The sequence below is a fragment of the Homo sapiens genome, chromosome 21 (assembly GCF_000001405.40).
Source record: "Homo sapiens chromosome 21, GRCh38.p14 Primary Assembly".
NCBI lineage: Eukaryota > Metazoa > Chordata > Mammalia > Primates > Hominidae > Homo > Homo sapiens.
In genome coordinates this window covers 36,578,403-36,600,747 of record NC_000021.9, presented here as the reverse complement: position 1 = coordinate 36,600,747, position 22,345 = coordinate 36,578,403, and the positions used below count along the sequence as shown (strand labels likewise).

Sequence of the window (22,345 nt, the reverse complement as noted above, 5' to 3'; positions counted from 1 at the left end):
CTCTCCTACTTGGGTGGTTACAGACCTACTTTAATTTCTTTTTCTTTTAGAAGATTACCTATATATTTATGTAATTAACTCTTATGCATAGCATTATTACTATGTGCCATGCACCATTCTGAATGTTACAAAATCCTTTAGTCCTACCAACAAGCCTATGAGGTAGGTGCTACTAATAGCCTTACTCTGTGGAACAAAGGAAGCACAGAGGGGTTAAACAACTTGCCCAAGATCACCAGAGCTGGTAAGCAGCAGAGCTAAGATTTCAACTCAGGTGTTCTGGCCTCAGAGTCTGTGTTCTCATGCTGCCTACCTGATGCTTTTAAAAAAATAAAAATAGACCGGGTGCAGTGGTTCACACCTGTAATTCCACACTCTGAGAGGCTGAGGCAGGAGGATTGCTTGAGCCCAGGAGTTCAAGACTAGCCTGGGCAACACAGCAAAACCCTGTCTCTATAAGAAATTTAAAAATTAGCCACGTGTAGTGGCACACACCTGTAGTCCTAGCTACTTGGAAGGCTGAGGTGGGAGGATCGCTTAAGCTTCGGAGGCAGAGGCTGCAGTGAGCTGAGATTGCACCATTGTGCTCCAGCCTGGGTAACAGAGTGAGACCCTGTCTCAAATAAATGAACAAAAATACAAATAGTATGTTCACAAGGCAAAAAATAAATCCAATCTCACAAATGTTTAACTGGGATTTTCTTTTTATTGGGCTCGTGAGTTGGCTCCACAATTTCCAGTATCTTGTCTTATCCATTCTTTTGATTTTATCTTCATTTGGCTGAAGAGTATCCTTGAGTAACTTTTTCAGAGATACTCTATGAAAGGAAAAGTTTCTGACCACTTGAATGCCTGGAGATGTTTTAACAGTCAATTCTTATTTGTGGATTCCATATTTGCAAATTCTCCTACTCACTAAAACTTATTTGTAACCTGAAAATCAGTGTCTGCACACTTTTGAGGTCATTCTTGGACATGCAGAGAGAGGTGCAACATCTGAGCTGCCCAACATGAATGTTCCCAGTTGACATTGAACAAGGTGATGCTCTCCCTTCTTGTTTAGCTCTCATACTATAAATAGTCCTTCCTGTGGTCTGTTTACTGCCATGTTGCTCACATTTTTGTTTTTTATTGATGATTCTGCTGTTTAAAATGGCCTCCAATTGTAGTGCTATCTAGTGTTCCTAATCACAAGAAGGCAGTCATATGCCTTATGGAGAAAATATGTGTGTCAGAAAAGCTCTGTGTAAGTATGAATTACAGTGCTGTTGGTCACCAGCTCAGTGTTAAAGAGTCAACAGTATTTATTAAATAAGGTGTCTTCAAACAGAAGCACACATAAAGCAGGGTTATGTGTTGACAGGTTGACATAGGCTCCCGGGAGCCTAACCCTGTGTTTCCTCTAAGAGGAGTGGTTCAGGATTTGGCTATGTTTGTGGCAACTTTATAGAATGTACCTACCATGAGTAGCAAGAATTGGCTGCATTTTGTGCTCATAATTGGTAGCTTTGCTAACTATCAAATTTCACCTTGAAAAGTATTTCCCCTCCAAACTCAGAAGGTGTCATTTCATTGTCTTTTAGCACCCACTATTGCTGATGCCAGCCTAACCCTCATTCTTAGGCAGGAGGCTTGCAATCTCTCTCTGGACATTTTAAAGATCTTTTTATTCCTGGTGTTCTGAAGTTTCATGGAGATCTGCCTAAGGGTGTGTTTCCTCCTTTCTACTGCGAGACCCATCTGAAGACTCATGTCCTTTTTATAGCTCTAGGAATGTTTTTCTATTATTTCTTTGAAATCATCCCTCTTCCCCTCAATTTTCTCTGGCTGTGTCTCTTAGGACTCATGTTAACCACCCCTTGGACCTGCTGGATTGATCGGCTACATCTCTAGTTTTTTCTTTGACCCTTCAAAATCTTTGAGCTGTTTTCTTTTTCCCGCTGGCATATTTCTTTGACTTAAATTTTCGGGGTTTTTTCTGATTTCTTTTGGCAATGACACTTTTACTGCTTAAGAGTTCTTTCTGGCTGGGCACAGTGACTCACGCCTGTAATCCCAGCACTTTGGGAGGCCAAGGCAGGCAGATCACTTGAGGTCAGAAGTTCGAGACCAGCCTGGCCAACATGGCGAAACCCCGTCTCCACTAAAAAAAAACAAAAATTAGCCGGGAGTGGTGGTGGGCACCTGTAATCTCGTCTACTCTGGAGACAGAGGAAGGAAAATCGCTTGAACCTGGGAGGCGGAGGTTTCAGTGAGCCAAGATTGCACCACTACACTCCAGCTTGGGCAACAAAGCAAGACTCTGTCTCAAAAAAAAAAAAAGTTCTTTCTTATTCTTCAATTGGCTTTTATGGCATCTTTTTCTGGTTCAGAATGCGACATTTTCTCAAATCTTTCAGCCTGCTGTTGAGAGTGTTTCCCATCCCCTTCTGCATTCTTTCTGTTTCCTCCATGAGAAATAGTACTGTCTGTTTAGCTTTGTTTTTCACTCCATACGTTTTGCGACCTTATTTGTCTATCGTACCTAAGAATGAGAGGGTAGGCTGGGCACAGTGGCTCATGCCTGTAATCCCAGCACTTTGGGAGGCCGAGGCGGGCAGATCATGAGGTCAGGAGATTGAGACCATCCTGGCTAATACAGTGAAACCCCGTCTCTACTAAAAAATACAACAAATTAGCCAGGCATGGTGGCCGGCGCCTGTAGTCCCAGCTACTTGGGAGGCTGAGGCAGGAGAATGGCGTGAACCTGGGAGGCGGAGGTTGCAGTGAGCCGAGATCATGCCACTGCACTCCAGCCTGGGTGACAGAGTGAGACTCCGTCTCAAAAAAAAAAAAAAAAAAACATTGACAGGGTAGGATGACTTTTCTAGGATCTCATTGGCACAGGTGTAGTTGCACATCTAAATCTGTCTTATGGTTAGGCCTCTTCCATGAGCAGGAAAGCCGATGGGACCTCCACATACAGGAGTGTGGCTGGCCAGCTTCCCATGAGAGCAGTGGACAGGGACCTGAGTGTTTTGACTTGGTGGCCATCAAATGCCACACAGGGGTGGATTTTGTTAGGTGCAATCACCTACCATGGGTTTCACTCAGGCAGTTTCTTCAGTTTTTCTAAAGAAGAATCATCTGCTCTTCTTCCTCATCCTCTCTTTCCTCCTCTTCTTCCTCCTCCTCTTCCTCTTTCCTTTACTTCTGATTCTCAGTTGCAAATGATCTGAACCAAAGGGCTTTGTTCTCTATAACTTTTGAAAGAGTCTGGGATGATTCAGTGGTGGAGTGGAAGTGATGGCATTTTAACATTTGGGCATGCCAGTTACCAGCATCTCCCATGATGATGAAAGTCCAATATGGTCACTTTGGTGGGACACCTCACCATCACAAAGAAAGAAACTCAGGCACCTGACGCACGTGGCAGCAGTGGGGTGCATGGAGTCACCCATGTGATCATAGAAGTGGCAAAGCAGGACTACAGGTGCTCATGGAATATGGCTGTGGTTGGAGAAAGCTACTGTCATTAAGGCCGACCCCAGGAAGAATCACTACAGCAAATGTCTGGCCCTGGAAAAGGTGAGCTGACAGGTGCTATCAAAAAGCACCTTGTTCAGAAAAAAAAATACTAAAAAATCTTGAAATTTCGGACTAGGAGGGACTTAGAGACCATCTAGTCCAACAGTGTCACTCAGAATAAACTGAGCCCAGAGAGGTGAAGCCATCACCTGTGGTATCCGCGTGCCCACCCTCCACCCCCGCTGCCTGCCACCGCCCTCCAGCTCTTTGAGTTGGTGGATGGATGGATTGGTGCTTTCATAGTTTCTTTGTTAGAATTCCACTGCCTAAAGGGTAGCACCTTGAACTGTTTTCAGCCACGGATTGCTGCAAATTACTTAAATTAATGCTTTTCTTTATCTTGCCTCCCCTGCCCTTAAGAGAATGAGACATGAGATAGATATGTTTGTTCAAGAGAAAGGAGGAAGCATGTATGAGACCATTCCATCCAAGTAAAGTCTTTACATGACCTCATCTGTATGCACATTTATAAGGGCATCCCTTACCACAGCCACCTGTGAACTGGAATATTCATCCTACTTCTTAGACTATAGCAGCTTCTTAGACTATACTCAGAGACATGAAGTGATGTGTCTGCCTGAAAGTTGGGGCTACCTGACCCCAAACCCCATCTCTCAACCACTATGTACTCTACCCAAACAGGACACAAGACGGAAAACACAAATACTAAAGGACAAGGATCACCTGATCCTTCTGGATGAAGACTCTCTTACCAAGGTTGATCCCAAGGTCATCTGATACATACGGGGTGGGAGAGTGGGATTTGCAGTAAGACTTGTTTGGTTAGTTGGGTTGTTTAGATACAATGATGTCATGGCATCCTTGAGGTGCAGCAGGTGGACAGGCAGACAGGTGCCTGGTGCATGATGAGGAAGAATCTGTGTGTGATGGGGGTGGGGAGGGGGGTTGTGGAAACAGCCCCAAGGAAAGCTCTAGATTTGAAGGTAAAGAGACAGGAGGCACAGAATTAGATTTCAAACTCACAGAATTAGATTTTTGAGAGGCAGAAGAAATCCAGAACCTGGAGGAAACTGCCTTCTGGAATGCTGCAGTTGGCACTAGAAGCTTCAATGATAGGAAATGAAGCACAGGACCAGGTTGCAAAATGTTGATACTCTTTCAATTGTGATCTTCATATTTTTTATGTAACAACACATTTTAGAAAAGATGTTTTTCAACCTGAATTAGTTATTAACTGTGTGTGAACACTAGTAACAGCAATGTAACTGTTACTAGTAGCCTAAATGAATTAGGTGCTTCTTTGCACATGTGAAAGAAGCTAGGAGGGAGGCAGTGCAGGGCTTGTATGGTAGCTCCATCTAGGATTTAGGTTTCTCAGTTTTTCTGCTTGGCTATCCTTATTAGCTTCTCTCCTCAAGGTGGGCTTGTTGTCCCAAAATGGCTGCTGGCACTCCAGCTAGCACATCTACATTCCAGATATGGAGCCAGCAAAGGGCAAAAGGCTTTATTTGAAGAGTTCTGTTTAGATGTTATTGGTTTCTTTCATATGCAAGAGAGGGAGGGAAATGCAGTCTTTTAGTTTGAGCACATTGCAGCCTATACAGAATCCAGTTGTATTAGTAAGGAAAGAAGAAGATAGATTGAGAAGCTAGCTAGAAGCCCCAGATCAGGCCAGCTGGAGGCGGTGAATGCCATGGATGCTATTCTGCTGGTTTGGGTTGAGTGAACTCTTTGATAATTGATTTAATATATTCTGTATTTTCTTCTTTATTAAGCAGTTGGAACCAAACTAAGACACTCAGGATAACGTTTTTGTAGATTTAACATTTCACTACTGACATAGCAGAAAGCTGTGCAACATTGAATGTTTCATGAAAGAGATTTAGATCCTTCAACAAAAGCCCAGCAAAAATTAAAGGCAATTAAAAAATGTATCTACCCTTGGCAGGGCGCGATGGCTCACGCCTGTAATCCCAGGACTTCGGGAGGCTGAGGCGGGCGGATCATGAGGTCAGGAGATCGAGACCATCCTGGCTAACACAGTGAAACCCTGTCTCTACTAAAAATACAAAAAAAAAAAAAAAAAAAAAAAAAATTAGCTGGGCATGATGGTGCATGCCTGTAGTCCCAGCTACTCAGGAGGCTGAGGCAGGAGAATCGCTTGAATCTGGGAGGCGGAGGTTGCAGTGAGCCGAGATTGCACCACTGCACTCCAGCCTGGGTGACAGAGCAAGACTCCGTCTCAAAAAAAAGTATCTATCCTTGCAGACCTCCATGTTGCCACTAACAAAAACATGTGTTTGAGAGTTTTCTGGGGGAGAGAGTGTCTTTATTTATTCTCCAGATTAGACACCTATAGTAGTCTTTAAAATTTGCTAAGCTTTCTCCTGTCTATCTGAGACCTGGAAATGGAAAATGACTTTTAAGTCTAGTCTGATCACTCAAGTCAAATTGTTAGAAAATTTAATTCCATTCATTCCAACAACTAAATAAAAGAGGTCTGAATATGTCCATCTAAATGAAGTATTAGGATTCTATGTCAGTCATGTTAGAGATTTGTCTCAAACTGGATGAGGCCAAGGGGATGCAGAGAGTCACCCAGAGTCTAAGGCCACAGGTGCTTCCTAGGACAGAAGAGCTGGAAGATGCAGACAAGCTCTCTCTCTCTCTCTCCCCCCGTCTTTTCCTCTCTCCCCATCACTCTCTTCTTCTGCAGATGAACCCTGTCCACCAGGCAAGGCTCTTGGCCCCCAGAAAGACAGAACCAATAAGATGACCAAAGATGGGTAGGAAGGAAAGAAAGAAGAAAGAAAGAAAGAAAGAAAGAGAAAGAGAAAGAGAAAGAGAGAGAAAGAAAGAAAGAGAAAGAAAAGAGAGAGAGAAAGAAGAGAGAAAAAGCTGGGTATGGTGGCTCATGTCTATAATCCCAGCACTTTGGGAGACCGAGGCAGGTGGATCACCTGAGGTCAGGAGTTTGAGACCAGCCTGGCCAACATGGTGAAACCCCGTCACTACTAAAAAACAAACAAAGCAAAACAAAACAAAAAGCAACAACAACAAAAAAAACAACTAGCCGGGCATAGTGGTGCACATCTGTAATCCCAGCTATTCAGGAGGCTGAGGCAGGAGAATTGTTTGAGCCCAGGAGGCAGAGATTGCAGCGAGCTGAGATTGTGCCACTGCTCTCCAGCCTGGGTGATGAGCAAGGCAAAGAAAGAAAGAAGGAAGGAAGGGAGGAAGGAAGGAAAGAAAGAAAAGAAAAGAAAAGGAAAAGAAGACGGGAAGGGAAGGGAAGGGAAGGGTCTCTGTCTGTCTCTATCTATATAGAGAGATTTTAAGGAATTGGTTCACGTGATTATGGGAGCTGGCAAGTCCGAAACCCGCCTGGCAGGCTGGCAGCCTGGAAAGTTCGACAAGAGTTGATGTTGTAGTCGTGACTATGAAGCCTGGAAACTCTGGAAGAATTTCTATGTCGCAGTCAGGAAGCAAAATTTCTTCATTCTGGAGGGCATCAGCCTTTCCTCTTAAGGCCTTCAACTGATTGACGAGGCCAACCCACATTGTGGAGAATAATCTGTTTTACTTGAAGTCTACTGATGTAAATGTTAATCACATCTAAAAACACCTTCACAGAAACATCTGCACTGGTGTTTTGCCAAACGACTGGGTACCATGGCCTGGCCAACTTGATGCATAAAATGAACCATTATGGCACCCATTTCCTCTGCTCTCCTCTGCACCCTCCTCCTCTCCCACTGGGGCATGCCTCGGGCTGGAGAGCTGGGAGGTCATGAGCACGGTCAAGGCTAGCTTCCTAGAGCAGAATGCTGCGGACCTCACCTGCGCAGCCCGGCTCAGTCTAAGTCACAGAGAGCTTCTTGCTGAGCTTCCAGCACTTCCCCAGAGGCATGGAGCCTTCCCTGGGAGGCTCTTGTCAGGGCCCCGGGGGCAGAGGGCTCTCCAGGGCCTGGAGTGTTGTTACCAGGCCTTGTTTTGTGACTTCAGCTCCCAGCCTTGTCCCACCAATGTGAAGGAGTGGAGTGAATGGAGGCTTGCTGGGCACTGGGTCCTTGCTATTGATGGTGACTCACCCCGGCTGGATCTGCAAGCGATGTGGGCTGTGAGGCCTGGTGGGCAGGTGCACCTGGCAGCCAGGAGAGAGAGATTCCAGAGATCCCAGCAGGGAGAGGTGCACAGAAGACCCAGGCAGCCGGGCTTATGCATGGAGGGGAGGAGCGTAATCTTTAGGATGGGCAGGGGTTGGCTGTGGTAACAAATAGCCCCCAGTCTCAGTGGCTCAGTGTGACAAAGTCCGCTGCAGAGTGAGTAGGGGCTCTCCACTCTTCCAGCACATGCCTCTAAGCTTGCCCTCAGGCAGTGGGCAAGGTGGCCAGGGCTGCACAGGGCTTTCCAGGTGGGCCTGGAGTAGCATTTGTCCCTCTAGCTGCAAGGGAGGCCGGGACATGCCACCTTCCAGCGACGGGAAGTCACTGGTGAGAATAGGGCACTGTTTCTGCCATGAGAAAGGGGGAAGGAAAGGGAGACAAAGAGGACAATGAGAAAGAGAGGGTGAGAGGTGAAGGGGAACAGAGATGGGAAAGTCAGAGGAGCAAAGAGGTTTAAAGTAAAGGGGGAAAGACATGCTGCTTCCCCATGAAGGGCAGCCGTCAGTGTCCCTCTCTCCCTGCAGAATGGACACATTCAACGTCCCACTCATAGGCAGGTGACAATGTTGTTAGGTGACGAGGAATCCTGGGATAACATGGAGAGAAGCAGGGAGTAGGGGAGAGAGAGCAGGAGGGAGAGGAAGAGAGAGAAAGAGGGAGGAAGACCAAACAGAAGAGAGGAAAGGAAGAGGGCGAGAGAGAAGGAGAGAAGGAGAAGAGAAGGGGAGAGAGAGAGAGAGGGCCAGGAGAGGGGGGAGCAAGCTCACCTAAGACAGGAGCAACAGGACCACCGTTCTGGCCTTGGGCCCAGAGACCAAGTTGTATTTCATGCTGTCTAGGAAATTTCAATGTTTTTCAATGTATTTCAACGTAATTCAATATATTTTAATGTATTTCAATGTTGTCCAGGAAATAAGTTATCTGTCTTTAAAATCATCCCCTTTTTCCTCCTTTTCTCCTTTTCCAAATGTTAAGCATTTCCCATCCCACTGTCTAACAGCAGCTGAGCAGTAACGGTTTGCTCACCTGCTTTAATTCCCTGCAGATGAGCGGAATCTTCCTCGCAGCTCAGATGTGTAAGGAGGCACCCTGGGATGACAGTGGCCCCCCAGTTCTACTGTCTGACCTTGAATCCTTCAGGGCAGATGGGAGAACTTGTGAATTATGTGTCTGTTTGGTGCCTGACACGGAGCCAGGAATGGAGGAGAGCTTCACGAATTCTGAAGTGTGTACACGTGCATTCTCCTCCCACCCCCTTTTTTTGCTGTTGGTGACTCACCCCGGCTGGATCTGTAGTGATGCGGGCTGTGAGGCCTGGTGGGCAGGTGCACCTGACAGCCAGGAGAGAGAGATTCCAGAGATCCCAGTTGGGAGACGTGCACAGAAGACCCGGGCAGCCGGGCTTATGCTAAATAAAATTAGTTCACATTCAAGGCCTCCCTTATTCTGCAGAGGACGTGGCCCAGGTGTGCAGGTGGATTTGGAGGGAGAAGTGAGGGAAGCAGCCCACCGACAGTGAGAAGTGAGGGGTAGGGGCCGGGGTCTGGGGGCTGGCAGGGGAGCCAGGTGGGCGATGGGCCTCAGCCAGTGCAGAGGGGTGTGACCCGCCGAGGCCCCTCTGCCTTCATTTAGACTTTCTAAGGCCAGGCCACCTGCCATACGACCTGGGGTTTGAGCCTGCGTCTGGCTACCCCAAAGGACAAGCAACCAAGGGCTGGAGATAGGAGTGGAAGCAGCAGCCCGGCTCCCCGTTTCTGCTGCTGGGAAGTGGATGGAGCTCTCAGGTGCTTGCACCTTCCCGTAGGCAAGCTCTCCTGAGGAGGAACTCCACACAAAGCAGGACTAGCCGGCAGGCTGGAAGAGAAACCCTTGGATCCACCTCTTGGGTGGCTCTCAACCTGAAGTCAGGACTTGGTGACTCCTCTCGCTTAAAAGGATAATTTTTTTAAGAAGGAGATCATTTTCTTTGCAGGGAAATGGATGGAGCTGGACGCCGTTATCCTTAGCAAACTAACACAGGAACGGAAAACCAAATACCGCATGTTCTCATTTATAAGTGGGATCTAAATGATGAGAACTCAGGAGCACAGAGAAGGGAACAACACACACTGGGGCTGACTTGAGGGGGAGGGTGGGAGGAGGGAGAGGAGCAGAAAAGATAATTACTGGGTACGGGGCTTAATACCTGGGTGGTGAAATAATCTGTGCAATAAACCCGTGATGCTAATTTAACTATATAACCAGCCTGCACACGTACTCCCGAAACTAAAATAAAAGTTAAAAATAAATAAATTAACAGGGCTGGGTACGGTGGCTCAAGCCTATAATCTCAGCACTTTGGGAGGCCGAGGCAGGTGGATCTACTTGAGGTCAGAAGTTCGAGACCAACCTAGCCAACATAGGAAAACCTTGTCTCTACTAAAAATACAAAAATTAGCCAGGCATGGTGGCGGGGGCCTGTAATCCCAGCTACTTGGGAGGCTGAGGCAGGGGAATTGCTTGAACCCGGGAGGCGGAGGTTGCAGTGAGCTGAGATCATGTCTGCACTCCAGCCTGGGCAACAGAGCAAGACTCTGTCTCACATAAATAAATAAATAAGCACCAAAAAAATCTTTTTTTAAATATTGAAATCATGCTCGATGCAAGAGAAGCTGCCAAGATAATCAAAGAGCTCCTGTGTATCTTTTCCTCAGTTTACCCTGATGGCTCCATCTTCTGTAACAGTGGTCCAGTAGCAAAATGAGAAACTTGGCATTGGCACAATGTGTATGCAATCGTTCTAAGTCTTTTTATCACATGTTAAAATTCATGTAACCGCCACTATGATCAAGACACAGAACTGTTCTAGGGGTGACCCCTTTCATAACAAATCTTTTATAACAGCCTTTTTACCATCCTGAAACAAAAACCACAGACGATAGTGCAGATTCCTGTTACATATACCTATCACGACACAGAATCTGAAATGAGAGACATGCATTAAGTACACATAATATATTAAGTGCAATATGAAGGAAATACAAGGAAAGTGGAGGGTTGTAATAAAGTAAAATATATTCAATGCCTAATGTGCTTGAGCACTCACTCTATCTACACTAGAAGACACAATGAAGCCATCAGAAAGAGGCAATTGAAGGAATCCACAGCCACAAAGAGGGGCTGATGCAGGTGTAATATACCGAGGCCTCAAAACCACAGATGCAATTTGTCATGAGACTAAAACAAAGTACAGTAGTTGCATTCCTGGAAATACAGCACAAAATCCACTTTATGTTCCTATGGAGTGAGTTTCCAGGCTCAGACGGTCCTAAGCGGGTTTGTCATTTACCTGAATGGTGTGTGGGGTAAAGGACAACTCTCTACAGAGAGGACAATTCTGGCAGGTCCTGGAGCACCCCTGGCTCCTGTCCCCTCAAGGCCAGGAAGTCCCCCACTGTAATCCTGCCAATCACAAAGGCTTCCTCGAATTTCCAAAATAGCCCCTAGGGGGCAGTCCTGACCCTGCTGAGAACCGCCGGCCTATTGGATACTGAGGCCATGTGCCCGGCAGTGTGCCAGGCTGGGGAGGGAGGAGGGAGGGTCGGGGAGCACAGATGAAACACACATGGTGTCCAGCCCTGTGAAACGTGCCCTCTCATTAGATTCAGGTCACTAGATATAGCAAATGAAAATATTGCACGGGACATGTTTATACTCAATATTATTTGTTGTTTATCTGAAATTTAAATTTAACTGGGTGTCTTGTGTTTCGTCTGGCAGCCCTACTGATAACACAAAGGCCATGGAGACAGGATGGCTGGTGCTGTCCTTGGGGACCAAGGGGACTCGGAGGAGGGGTCTGTAGAAGGAGACGTGGAGACTGTTTCTGGCATGGGAGTGGCCTCTGCCTTTTGCAGGGTTTTACACACTCAGTAGCTCCTGAATGCCCACGCTGATTCAGGAGGTGACATTATTATCCCTAGCTTGCCAGTGAGGCAATTGAGGTGTCAAGAGGCCACATGACTCCCCCAAGACGCATCTCACAGGGGCAGGAGGCAGGTGCCGATAGAACTCTCCCCGTGATGGTCAGTGGAGCCTCCACACTGGGGTGGCAGGGTGTGCTGGGAAAAGCAGTGGCGGGAGGGCAGGCACGGAAAAGCAGTGGCGGGAACCTCTGCCATCTCCGGACAAGGCATCCTCGCAGGAACAACTGAGGTCAGAGGGCTTGGTTTAGGATGTGGGGATGGTCAGCAAATGCAGGCTTAGAAAGTGGTGAAGGTCTGTGTGGCTGCAGAAGCCAGAAACTATCAGGAACGTGGAAAGAAACCTGTTTTATGATTTTTGGGTTTTTCGTTTTGTTTTGTTTTTAGACAGGAGTCTAGCTCTGTTGCCCAGGCTGGAATGCAATGGCTTGATCTCGGCTCACTGCAACCTCTGCCTCCTGGGTTCAGGCGATTCTCCTGCCTCAGCTTCCCGAGTAACTGGGATTACAGGCATGCACCACCACGCCTGGCTAATTTTTGTATTTTTAGTAGAGATGGGGTTTCGCCATGTTGGCCAGGCTGGTCTCAAACTCCTGACCTCAGGTGATTCACCCGCCTCAGCCTCCCAAAGTGCTGGGATTACAGGCATGAGCCATTGCGCCCTGCCAATAAACCTGTTTTAAATCGCAGCACTTTGGGAGGCCGAGGGGGGCAGATCACCTGAGGTCGGGAGTTTGAGACCAGCCTGACCAACATGGAGAAACCCGTCTCTACTAAAAATACAAAATTAGTTGGGCGTGGTGGCACATGCCTGTAATCCCAGCTACTTGGGAGACTGAGACGGGAGAATCACTGGAACCCAGGAGGCAGAGGTTGCAGTGAGCCGAGATCACGCCACTGCTCTCCAGCCTGGGTGACAAGAGCGAAACTCCATCTCAAAAAAAAAAAAAAAAAAAAAAAAAAAAGAGCTGCTTTGCACCAAGGAGCCCGGCCCACCAGGAAGAGAAGGGGATAAGACGCGTGCCCTTGTTCTTAAGAAACATGTGCTGGCCTCCCCTCAGCAGATGCCTCCAGATAAGCCCAGCACCCACAGTCCTGCACACTTGCCTTCCCGGCCCTTCACCACCCACAGGGATGGGAGCAAGGCAAAGACATCATCAGAAGATGCTGTGATAATGAGCCCGACCGTGAGGACCAATGGAGAAGCCCCTGGACCTGGTGAAAGGTTGCCTCCCTCAGGGCTCTTGTCTTCTGCGTTTATAGCTGATTTCTCCCAGACAGGGGTACTCTTCCAGCCATGGGGTGGCAGGGGGCATGGGTCCCCCAGGCACGGAGTAGAAGCCCAAGCTCACGCTCTGAGACACAGGAAGAGCCCAGAGAAGATGCTGGAATCCACCAGCCTGGTTTTAGCTCAGGCGTGTTCTTATTTGTACAGGGCTTACCTGGACTGGCTTTCACTGAAACTCAGATTTAATATCTTTGGGAGATGAGTCCACAATGAGTCATGGAATATTCTTTCAACTAGCAGTAGGAGAGACACTGGCCTAGGAACCAGTGTTTGGTAACTGTTTCCATGCCTATGGGAGCCGAAAGCTGAGTTCTCCCGCTAAGAGCAGGGTGGGACACTCAGGAGACCGTGTTCTGTTCGGTGGGGACCTCGCAGCTTCAGAGTGGGGTGGAGAGCTCAGGAGGAGGTTATCTTCAAATCGCTGGGGAGAGTCAGTAAAAAGTCCTAAAAGGAAAGCTTAGCTGGATCACTTTTCCTTGCTGTCTTGGGAAAATTTAAAAGAGAAGCCAAACCAAATTCATGAAAAGTCTGGGTGCGGAAAGAGATGCAATTGACTTGGGTTAAAAAAAAAGTCAATTTTTCTGATTATAAAAGCATTAAAAATATATGGGACAGGACTACAGCATTAAGCTTGTTGAAGAAGATTTAGAAGAAATATGGAAGAGTAAATCACCATAATCTTGCTACCTAGAACAACTTTTCTGAAAAATGGAAACAAGCTCTCACTATGTTATCCAGGCTGGACTCAAAATCCTGGGCTTAAGCAATCCTCCTGCCTCAGCCTCCTGAGTAGCTGGGACTACAGGAACATGCCACTGCAACTGGCTAGAATAACTTTATTTTTAATTAAGAATAAGTTAAAATAACCACTAACTAAACATTGCCAGTTCAGTTGACCCTCTCTTAGTATATAGATCAGAATGGTTTGTTATTAATATATACATGGTTTATATACAAACAGAGAGAAAGCTGGTCTCTAAAGTTTCTTGAGGACGTTGATGTCTCCTTTCTAGTTTGGCTTACCTATGAATTTCCTTGTTAAACCCTTTTTAAAAATAAATGATATTATGGTAAACTTTATTTTGGTTATTGTTAAGGTAATGCAAAAGTAAGCTGAATGCAATGCACCTATGTCCCAGTTATTCGGGAGGCTGAGGCAGGAGGATCGCCGGAGGCCAGGAGTTCAAGACCAGCCTGAGCAACACAGTAGGACTGCCCCCCCATCTCTCTTTTTTTTTTCCTTTTAAAGTAATGAGGCTTTGGTATATGGCCTATACTGCTAATATAGTTGCAATATTTCAAATAAGGTGCTTATAAGGTGCAGTATTTCCAGAAGAGATCCAAAGTTGCACATAATTGTTGGGGGGAAGGTCTAGGGGAAGAGAAAGAACCCAACTAATAGTCATTCTCCAGCTCGGTCATCTGTTAACCAACAGAGAGAACATTTAAACTTTTGAACTTCAGCTTCCCTTTCTGTAACATGGAAGGGTGGGACACAGCAGTGGTTCTCACCCAGGGAGTCCATTAGAATTGCACTGGAGAGCTTTTGAAAATATGCATGATGGCCAGGCATGGTGGCTCACGCCTGTAATCCCAGCACTTTGGGAAGCCGAGGCAGGTGGATCACCTGAGATCAGGAGTTCGAGACCAGCCTGGCCAACATGGTGAAACCCTGTCTCTACTAAAAATACAAAAAATTAGCGGGACATGGTGGCGCACCTGTCATCCCAGCTACTCGAGAGGCTAAGGCAGGAGAAACGATTGAACCCAGGAGGTGGAGGTTGCAGTGAGCCAAGATCACACCACTGCACTCCAGCCTGGGCAACAAGAGCGAAACTGCGAGAAAAAAAAGAAAAAGAAAGAGAGAGAAAGAGAGAGGGAGGGAGGAAGGAAGGAAGGAAGGAAGGAAGGAAGGAAGGAAGGAAGGAAGGAAGGAAGGAAAAGAAAATATGCACATGTGGTCGCCTCTGGGGCATTTTGTCCCAATGGGCCTCCCGCAATTGAGGTAGGGAAAGGAAGATCTTTGTTACTTTGAAAACGCTCCCCAGACCATGGTAGGTTGAAGGAGACTTGCCCCAGCTTGAGCCAATTGTAAAATTTGCCGGAATTTTGTGAGCTGGTAGCTAAAAGAGTCACTATTTAAAAATTTAAAATCATAAGCTTACAATTAAATAAATTATATTACCACAAAAGTAATAAATACTCAAAACTCATCACTTCCTAGTTGTTTTAATACATTCAACTTCCTAATTGTTTTAGCATTTTTTACTTCCTGATTGTGTTAGTACATTTTACTGGTACCTATGCTCTAGAAGTTGTTTGCACCTATTGTATCTGGAGGGTGGAAATACTATACAATGGTGTGGTGTTTCACATCTCTGCCAATGCTGGCAGCTTGAAATCAGCTACTGTGGGAGTATTTACACCACAGAAATGGGCAGATGCTAGGAATCAGGAGATTTTTCCCTTCTGGTGATCCAGTTTGTGGTTAAACATTCCTCAACATGTTACTGTCCCCGATGTGATGTAGGCTTAATTCAGAAGTGTGATCCTGGGCTCCTTTTAAATAACTTTGATCTGAAGATGAGGCTTCTATGCTTTCACTTGCTGAGATGCTAGCGCCTCCTGGTGTGACTGGTTTTGTGGCTGCAAAGTCTCTTTCTCCAGTTTCTTTTAAAGGAGAGCCATGTTTGCTCTGTTCTTCCTGGCACTGAAGTAGCAGGTGTGTTTGTGCAGGTCTTTAAGGTACCCTTAAAGTAAACAGCCTTGATAAAATCTTTTTTTCCTCTTTTCTTCATTCTTCTGTTACTTGTATTGATCCAGGTCTTTCTACAGGCACAGAGTATGCTGGCTGTGTTTGTACATTTTTGCAAATAGATAATCGTGGAAGTCTATTCTATAGAAACAGCCTTTATGACTATGAACTGTAACCAAGGGGGTGGCAAGCAACTTCCTCTCCTTTGAGATTTTGGTGTATGGAAGGTTTCCACTTAAACTCCTTTCTACAGCGTGGCCTTCTCTTTTGTTGCTGTATTTGGAATGCATACCAGCTGTCACAGGGCAATAATCCCGGAGATGAAATCAATTCTCTTAATGGCCTTTTATGGAAAGTTCAAGCTTGCCTTGGGTTGGTATATTTTTAGCTTCAGGTATATTTTTTGGCGTATTAAGGGAATAAGGCTCCCATGCATGGATTGTGTGTGAACTGTTGAGAAGTTAATTGGTGTTCAAAGTGAGCCCTGTGTGTTGCCAAGGTATTGGGGGTGTCTGGTAAATGGCACACTCTTCCTGCCCAAATTCTGAACCAAATGAAAGGTGAAAAAAGGCATGAGGCCAATGGAGTCGCAAAGACCGTTTTTGTTGTTGTTGTTGTTTTTGAGATGGAGTCTGGCTCTGTCGCCCAGGCTGGAGTGCAGTGGTGTGATCCTGGCTCACTGCAACCTCCGCCTCCCGAATTCAAGCAATTCTCCTGCCTCAGCCTCCTGAGTAGCTGGGATTACAAGTGCCCACCACCATACCTGGCTAATTTTTGTATTTTTAGTAGAAACGGGATTTCACCATGTTGGCCAGGCTGGTCTTGAACTCCTGACCTCAGGAGATCCATCCGCCTTGGCCTCCCAAAGTGCTGGGATTACAGATGTGAACCACTGTGCCTGGCCCAAAGACTGCCTTTATTCCAGCCCAAAGACTACGTTTATAACTGACAGTCTAGGTTGGAGAATGTGGCTTATATCTTTGGGCAAATAAGCTCCCTAATACAGAAGTCCAATTTTGGCGTGGGGGGTGGGTGGGGTGGGCGTGGGGGGTGGGTGGGGTGGGCGTGGGGGGTGGGTGGGGTGGGTGTGGCGGAACTGGACAGACCCCTACTCCACCCCACAGGGATGAGCCCATCCTTGGAGGAGCCCAGCCCTGGAAGTGCCAGTCACTCCTGAGAGTAAATCGAGATGCAGGACCTCTTACTGCCCATGACCCAGGTCTCCTTTCAAACCTACCAATCAGGATGCTAGACGTGCATGATGGGCAGAGCAAGCCAGGGGTTATGCTAATGAGCTCCCTCCCCTGGATGGGATCCTGTGGGTTTCCTTCTTCCCATGGGCACCCCCAACCTGGCCTGGCCAACAGACACTGCAAACAGGCGCCCTTACCTGCAGCAGCTCAGGAAAACTCCTCTATTTGAAAGCTGAGCTCTGTCTGTATTAGACTAAGTTTATGGAATGGAAAAGGGTAGATGGTCATTTCAGAGTGACTTTGGGGGGAAAAAACTCAGGATATTGTAATTAAAGTTGGTTATACCAAGAAAGTCAAAAGTTCTGGCCTTCATTACCCTTAAGTGATGACGCTTGTGTGAATTGCATCCCCCCCACCTCAAAATTCATGCCCACCTGGGACCTCAGAATGTGACTTCATTTGGAAATAGGGTATTTCTTTATGGATGTAGTCAGGTTAAGATAATGTCATACTGGGTTAGAGGGGGCCCTAAATCCAGTATGACTGTATCCTTATAACAAGAGGAAAATTTGGACATGGAGACACAGACATGGAGGATACCGTGTGATGATGAAGGCAGAGATTAGAATTATGTTGCCATGAGCCAAGGAACAGCAAGGATTCCCAACAAACACCAGGAGCTGGAAGAGGCAGGAAAGGCTTATTTCCTAGAGACTTCAGAATGGTCCAGCAGTTGGCCACCCATGTGGACCCCTTGAGGAAGGAAGAGGGAGATTTTCTTTGGGAGGAGAGATGATGGAGGAATGGGCAAAATCCAGGTGGCACTGGGGATGTTGCTGGATTGTGTGGGTGATGGCAGAGGTGGGATATCTTATGGTTCCATCTCTACTGAGGCTCTGAGCCTCCTGGACACTTGCAGCCCTCCCAGCCCATCACCTGCATCCTTCATTTTGCAGTGAAAGTACCAGAATCCACATGGTTGCTGTGGAGGGTCATCAGGCAGGCCCCCAAAGGTTATTCGGGGCCCAGGAAGCCACTCTGTCTCCACACTCAAGTCCAGCACCCCTCCCCTCCACTCTCTTCCCAAGCTTAGTCTTTAGCAGGAAGGAAAAATGGATGAGACTCAGTTTAACCACACATTACAGAAGGGCTGGGAAAGGGTTGTGGGGGAATGGGGCAGGTTTTTTATGATAGTCATTCTAGGGTGCTCTTGCATCCTTCCAGATGCTTCTGTATAGCCAACAGCTCATTCGAGGCCTTGGACAGGTGCTCTGCCATTGCTCTTAGCATTGTGGAGGGCTGGGGACAGGAAGCCTGAGTTGCAGGTCTTGCTGTGTCATTGCCAGTTTTCATACTGAAGGTAACAGAATGCACTGTCAAGAGAAGTTTCTGTTCTTGGAGATTTGAGACCATTTCCTGACAGCTGGTTTGTTGGAGATAGAACTTGTGTCAAATAGGGTCTGAGGCAAGGTGGTCCACGTTGGGTGAACAATCGGTGGAAGTCAACTGTACACATGTGGGCGCAGGCGCTGCCTCATGGAACGAGTCCTTGTGCAGGGGCCAGGCAGACATTAGCAGACTGAATTTGACCTTGGGCATTCGAATTCTCTGTCCCCAGTCCCAGGCTTATTCTCTCTCTACCTTATTTTTTCTGCTCAGAAAATCTATGTCAGCCTTTGATATCTGTTCTCCATCCTTTCCTGACCACTGAGATCCAAGCCATTTATTAAGTTTCCCCTAAAATGCCTGATTGTATTGCTGAAAAATTGCCATGGCTGTTCTCAAGCACAATCTATTTCCTCTGCGAACTCTTGCCTCTTTTGGTTAAAAAGGAAACGTTGCATTTTTCTATCTAATCCTGTCGTGAGACTTTTTTCATTCATTCAATGTGTGCATTCAAATAACACCTCTCGGCTTTCCCATTTCTCACTACTAATCTTTACTTCTCTTTTCTGAGATTTACAACTTACACATGTGCCTGTCCCTCTCTTTCAGTGGATAGCATGCCTCGCTCTCCACCCTATCCCTTTCCTCTGCATCCTCCTGCAGTAGTGAGTCCTGGGGGGACCCCACAAATACCCAAAGCGGTTCTCCTTGCTCTCCTTCCCTTGGCCCGGTACATTCCATTTTCTTTTTCTTTCTATTGTCTTTTGAGTCAGGTTCTCACTCTATCACCTAGGCTGAAGAGTGTAGTGGTGTTATCATACTCATTGCAGCCTCGACCTCCCAGGCTGAAGTGATCCTCCCACTTCAGCCTCTAAGTAGGTGGGAGTACAGACATGAGCCACCATGCCCGGCTAATTTTTGTATTTTTTGTAGAGACAGGGTCTTGCCATGTTGCCCAGGCTGATCTCCAATTCCTTGTCTCAAGCAATCCACCCACCAAAGTGCTGAGATTATAGGTGTGACACACCGCACCCAGTCACATTCCATTTTTACAATCAAAATGTGTCTCCTTCTAAAATGTCTTTACTCAAAGATGATGTTCATTTTTCCATTCACAACTTCTAGCATCCATGGAAAACAAAACAGATCCTAACCTTCATGAGATAAAAACCACCAGCTTTCGCTTGGCCTCTAATCAAGTACTTATTTGCAACAACAAACACACAAAATAGAAAGGATCTTTGTAGAAAGTCTTTTTTAAAGTACTAGGAAGATCAGCAGTTTCACCATCATAGCTCTCACGGCATCTGCAATACATGTTCACTCTTTTAAGACCATTCAATTCTGCTGGAGAAAATAAGAGAAATGAATGACAAAGATAGATGGGACCATATGTGCTCTGCTCAAGAAATGCAAACAAAGCCCACAGCCACTCCGCAGGTCAGCTGGCGAGCCCCAGATACTGGCCAGGTGATCGTGCTCTTGTGTTTCTTTGGTAGGACAAGGATGTGCAGTTTCTGGGCAGCTTCCATCTGCTAAGCCTCCTTGTTTGACTATTTGACTGGTCCTGGTAACCACACTGTTAGCAGGGGAGACTGATGGGCAGACAGAGACGGATTGTGAACATTGCATAGCCCAGGACCCAGGGCTGTGGTCCTTCCACCCTGAAGGCACCAGATCCTGCAGTGTCAACCAACTGCAGATCTCTCCCTTTGTTTCTTGCTGTGTGTTTGGAACTGATGTACTAAATGATGGGATTCAAGCAACTGAACGTGGTTCGTCAGCCCTACTGTTCTGTGACAGCCTGTCTGGGGGGTGCTTGTAGGCTGGCCCAGCATCAGCGACAGGATCTTTCATCTGGAGCCTACAGACCTTAGACTCATGCTCCCCAGCTGTTCTGTAGATTCTTTTGGAAGATGCATTAGTCAGGATTCACTGGAGAAACAGAACCAATAGAGTGTGTGAATACCGATGCTATGAACATGTGTGTACACATGTCTTTTTGAGTCCCGGCTTTCAACATTGGGGGGGTATACACCTAGAAGTGGAATTGCTGGATTATATGGTAACTCTGCGTTTAATTTTTTGAGGACCCTCAACCATTTTCTATAGTAGCTGCATCGTTTTACATTTCCACCAGCAATGCACAAGGGCTCCAGTTTCCCCACATTCTCACCAGCATTACTTTCTGTTCTTTTGATAACAGCCATCCAGATAGATGTGAGGTGTGCTGTTATTTTTAGTGCCTTATGGCTTCTCCTGCCCCACACCAGCAGCTCTCACCAACTGCCCATCTCTGCACTTCCTCTGAGAGAGCAGGAATTTGATTGGCCAAATGCATCTTATGCCAGGCCATAGGTCACTGTCATTGGCCAACCCATAGGTGGACAGCTCCTGGGTCAGTTGATGATCAGCTAAGACCAGAAAGAGGTGAGTCACTTGTAGAAGCATGATGTGGTTATCTGCAGATGACCTCTCAAAATTATCTTCCCTTAGGATAGGCCGTGGGAGCAAACCACCAAAAAAATGTCCAACACAAGAGGGGAAAGATGCTGTGGAGCTAAGCTGTGTCTCCCCTAAAATGTAATACAGGAAGCTTGCCCTTGGCACACGCCATCACTTATCTGGAAGCTTCTCTCTTGCCCTTTGTCCATGGGGTCTTCGACAGGCCGTGCTCATGTAATTCTCTCCTTCACAGGCACTCAACTGTGGTGCTGCGTTTTAATGGGAAACTCTCCATAATAAAAACCCCTTTAATGTCCAAAGAAACAGAGCCATTCTAGGGGAAAGATTGGTGGAGAGATTGATAGCCACCCTGTCTGGTGGCTACTCCATCATTTAATAAGGCTGGAGAGAAATTGCATCAATACTTCATTCTCCTCCACTTTGTATCATTGGTCAATGCTTGAGACGGGATGTCAGAGACATCTTTTGAAACTTACCATTGTTTCTGCTATAAGAGAAACATTGAAGATATCACTGCCTCACAAAATTTTTTTTTTTTAAATGAGAATGCTTGTGGAAACCTGTCTGGGCTGAGTGCTAGCTATTAGGTAGTTCTGTTTTTCATGAGTTTATGGAGATGAACTTGTGTATCTGTCTAGGTTTCCCTTTGGGTGTTGGCTGTGGAAAGCGTAGAGCAAATAGATTTCCCACAATTTGGGACTGAATTGCATCTCCTCTGTAAAATCCATCTGTTGAAGCCCTAACCCCCAGTGTCACAGAATGTGACTGTATTTGGAGACGGGCACTTTAAATAGGGAATTAAGTTAAATGGGGTCATTAGAGTCTTAATCCTATATGACAGGTGTCCTTATAAGAAGAGGAGATTAGGGCAAAGACACACACATAGAGATGACCATATGAAGACAGGAAGAAGACAGCTGTCTACAAGCCAGGGAGAGAGGCCTCGGAAGAACCAATTCTGCTTATACTTTGGTCTTGGACTTCCAGCCTCCAGAACGCTAAAACAACAAATGTCTATTGTTGAAGCCACCCAGTTGGTGGTACTTTGTTATGATAGTCCTAGCAAGGTAATATACCTGCCTGCAGCCACCATATACATATTTGTTTGCTTTTGTTTTTTGCCCCATGCTTAGTTTCATTTGATGTCTCCCACACTTGCATTTATTTCCTGTACACCTATTTTTTGCAGTTACTTGATTGTATTTTAGTATCCTTTTATACTTCCTGGATTCAGGTACAATAAAAATAAAAATTTTTAATTCTTAAAGTGATTTCTCCTGGGCACCTCTAGTGTATAAGACTGTTATGGGCACCAGGAGATGCAGCTTAGAAGACCAGCACATGCCTAGCAGAGTGCCTGGCGTTAAAGGTCTCAATAAGTGTTGGCCATTATGACCAGCTCTTAGTTACTATACCAGTTAGCATTTGCTACAAAAGCCAAAGACCTCCAAACTGAATGACTTAAAATAATAAACATCTATTGCATCTCATGATTCTGTGAGCTAGGTAATCAATTCGGGTCTAAGTCAGCTCTGTTAGGGCTGGGTGGTCTAGGATGGCCTCTCTTTAATGTCTGGAACTCAGGTGGAAGTCTGGATGGT

At 46.3% G+C, this 22,345-nt stretch overlaps 2 annotated features.

The window, feature by feature from the left end:
- Positions 11,053–11,102: an enhancer, noted in NCBI's record as "active region_18440". NCBI's record gives its function as "activates an Ori minimal core promoter by ATAC-STARR-seq in GM12878 lymphoblastoid cells {active_cell/tissue: GM12878}" and the evidence as "EXISTENCE:reporter gene assay evidence [ECO:0000049][PMID:35858748]".
- Positions 11,233–11,292: a silencer, noted in NCBI's record as "silent region_13288". NCBI's record gives its function as "represses an Ori minimal core promoter by ATAC-STARR-seq in GM12878 lymphoblastoid cells {active_cell/tissue: GM12878}" and the evidence as "EXISTENCE:reporter gene assay evidence [ECO:0000049][PMID:35858748]".